At 53.5% G+C, this 3,715-nt stretch overlaps 1 annotated feature.

Moving 5' to 3' along the window:
* Positions 3,576-3,715: an enhancer, noted in NCBI's record as "active region_18018". NCBI's record gives its function as "activates an Ori minimal core promoter by ATAC-STARR-seq in GM12878 lymphoblastoid cells {active_cell/tissue: GM12878}" and the evidence as "EXISTENCE:reporter gene assay evidence [ECO:0000049][PMID:35858748]".

Below are 3,715 nucleotides of genomic sequence, written 5' to 3' on the forward strand. Positions count from 1 at the left end.
ACAACTGTAATCCAATTACTATTGGCTGTATCTTTCACGCTATTTTGCCCCAAACCTCAAGCCAAGCTCACTATACACATACACACAAACACACACACACACACACACCCCACAGCAGATGCCAATTTTGTGCCTCGTTGCCTCACATAACATGGGAGCATTGAGTAGTGAACAGCTGATCTGCATGAATTAACGTGGGAGGTCGTGTGGGCCCTGAAGCTTTCACACTTACAAACCGGTGTCAGGATGGGTTGTCATAGAGATCAGGTGGGAGGACACTAGGGTTCCCCCCAAGACTCTGGGCCTCCTCTGATGAGCAGGTCACATGGGGATCTGGGGGGAGGCACAGGCACGAACTGCATATTAAATACACCTGACTCACTGTGTCTGTGAGTGTGTGGGCGTGTGTGGGTGTGGGAGAGTGCATATAGGAGTGAGCATGTGTGTGAGTGTACATGTAAGTGTCTGTATGACTGTGTGTAGTATGTGTGTGCAAGAGTATATGTATGAGGGTGTCTGCGTGTGTCAGTGTGTGTGCAAGAGTGTGTCAGTATAAGAGCATATGTATGTATGCAGGGGCATGTGTGTATATGTAAGCGTATATCTGTGTGTGAGCGTGTGTATGCATGAGTGTGTGGGCATGTGTATGAGTGTATGTATGAGTGTGTCTATGTGTGTGAGCATGTGTCTATGAGTGTGTCTGTGTATGTATGAGTATGCATATTTGCATGGGCATGTGTACATATGCATGTGCATGTGTGTGAGTGTGTACACATATGAGAATGCCTGTGTGAGTGCATGTATGCATGTGTGTGGTGTGCATGGGGGCATGTGTATGTATGTGTGTGCCTATGTGTAAGGATGTTCGTTTGCATGCACATGTGTCCAGGTCCTACATGGGATGAAAACTGAATGGCTCTAAAGATCTGCTGGACACATTTCAGATCCTAACAGAGCTCTTAAGCTCCAAGGGGTCACTGAATGGACGGACAATGAGGGTTTCTGAGTCTAGGCAGCGCTGACTCAGCAATGCAGGAAGGCAGCTCTTGGAGCTTCACAAATAACCCCCCCACCCCCTTTCTCTCCCTCACAGTCACAGACCCCTCCCCACGTCCCTTCCTCTCCCTCTCTCTGTTTGCCTTCCATGCGTCTCCCCTTCCTGGTCTCATTTCTCGCACATTCATCACCTCTTCGTCCTGCGGTGTAATTCCCCTCCACTCCTCAGCGTGGACTGTGGGATGAGACAGCCGCAGCCTTGCAACCTGGCCGCGGAAAATGCTTGACACTGGTTTGTACCCATTTCTCAGTCTTGGGAGCCCACCCCAACTCAGGGAAAATATTCACGTGCATACATACATTTGGACATAATACATGAATCATATACAAGGAATGTTCAAACAGGCCGCAATCAAGCCCTCCATCCAGTGTTTAGTTTTGGTTTCCCCCAAAGCAGACCCTGAGGCAAGCTTTCAAGTTCAAGTAGTTTATCTGGGAGGTCATCACAAGCAATACCAGTTGGGGTGCGGGGCAGGGAGGTCAGCAAGGTGGAAGCCAATATGGCATTCTGCCTTCTCTGGGAAATGGCCCAGGCATGGTCTGCAAGCCCATAGAGCCTGGCCTTGCAGTGCCAGCCAGGAGATGGGCCTGGGGCAGGGGCGGCCATGCCTACCACAAGCAAGTTACCAATGTGGTAAACAAAGCACAGCCTTTCAGGGCCCTACAGCATAGAACACGTACCTCAGAGGTATCGATCTAAGGGCCACAGGGGCTGGGGCCCACCCCCAACTCCATCAGGCGCTGCTATGGGATCCCCTGGAAGCATTAATTTCCCAGCACCTCCGTCTCTCCCATGCAGCCCCGACCCTGGCAGCAGGAGACACAGGTGCTGGCAGCCCAAGTTGGGGGGCAGGAGCACAGCAGGGGAAGGGCCAGGGGACAGGGGGACCTCGACAGGGTCTGCCACATGTCTCAGCTCAACTGAGGGAGACCCCCTCTCTGGGGAAACCTCGCTGTTGCTCACTTCCTGCCTTGGACCCGTCCCCACCCACCAGCAACTCTGGACTTTCCCACAAATGGCTCGGGCTCCATTTCCCAGGGGTAAGTCTGGGTTCCTCAGCCCTTGAGCACAGATCTATGCCAGCACTCTCCTTGCACGAGGGCACATCAGGGATCAAGAGAAAAGGCTCCTTCCCTTGGCAAGGCAGACATAACAGTAGGGCAGGCAGGCGAGAGGCAGAGAAATCCAAAATCACGAAGGTAACGTCAGATGGTGACCAGCTATGAACAGGGTAGAGCAGGCACGTGGGATAAACAGAGTGACAGTGGACGCCAGAGCAGGTTGACCAGGGAGGAAATGAGGGGAGAGGCCCGGGGAGCTGTCCACGTACCAGTCGTGGTAAAATGTCACCGGACCTCTAATCTGCCATCTTGCTCTCTTCGCCTTTGTTTTTCAGGCTTTACAATCTCATCCCCAAAATAACAGAGCACAGACCTGCCCGGCCCCCAGGTGATTTTTCTTGGTGTTACCCTAAGGCCGTGAGACAGAGATTCTCTTAACGTTTTTAGTGCGGCCCCTTGCATGAAACCCGTTGCAAACTGCCACCCAGCACACACACGCACATCCATTTACACAGAAATGCAGCATGTTTCCCCAAACGGCACTCACCCCCGCTGCACACAATGCGCTGATGTCTCCTGACCTAGTCTGTTCTGGTCTATTGCAGATTTTCAATGCCGGGCTCGACACTCTAAATTGATTTCAAGACCCGCTAATGCGTCACAGCCTGCGATTTGATAAACTCCACGCTAAGACACATCCCGTTGTGAGGTGTTCGACCCAGAGGCCATTTATCCTGCAGTGAGCCGGGTGGGGGGGGCAGGATTCACCCTGAGGCGCGTCTCCTCCTTCTCAGTCGGGCTGGGAGGAGGGGGCTCTGTGCCATGGGACCCGCAGAGGTCCCGGTCTCAGAGTTCGTGCCCTGTAGCTGCTGTGTGTCCAGCAGCTGGCAGGGCGGGTGGGTTGGGGGTGGGGGTGTCACTCCCACAGACACACAGCACAGGGCAGAACCCTGGCTGGAAGCCGCTCAGCCCTGGGACCTCCCGAGCCCACCTGGGATCAGGCCCTGGGGAACAGCTATGGGGGACAGGGACTCCCAGTGCACAGAACAGGCCATGAGCTGGACAAGCTGCTCCTTCTCATAATGTCAGACCCTTCTGCTGACCCACCTAGGACCGGGAGCTTGCAGACAATCCTGGGCCCAGAGAAGCAGGCAGATGTGGCTGTTGGTAGCACTAATATGGGTTGTGAATATCACCTGGTAGTTATTATTACTTTACTTACTTTACCCCAGCCACTTGATCCTGCACACATCCCCTCACTTCATGCTCTGGATGAAGTTGGGGACCCCTGGATGAGACCACACCATGGGCCTGAAAGTCACGGGAGGAATTATATTAGATGTGGTGGTCTTGGAGGGCTGCTAGGAGGAGGAGAAATGTGTAGAGAGCTGGATGGACTGAGTGATGAGCAATACACATTTCTAGAGGAAGAGAGTGCAGGCAGAGAAAACAGCAAGTGCAGAGTCCCTGCGCTGGGAAAGGTCAGTGTGACCACAGTGGAGTGACAGAGAGGGAGGAGAGGAGGTCTGAGAGCTACCTGAGGCCCAGATCATGTGGGGCTCTCCAGGCCACAGCCAGGAGTGTGGATCTGCTTCTG

The sequence above is a fragment of the Homo sapiens genome, chromosome 20, assembly GCF_000001405.40.
Source record: "Homo sapiens chromosome 20, GRCh38.p14 Primary Assembly".
NCBI lineage: Eukaryota > Metazoa > Chordata > Mammalia > Primates > Hominidae > Homo > Homo sapiens.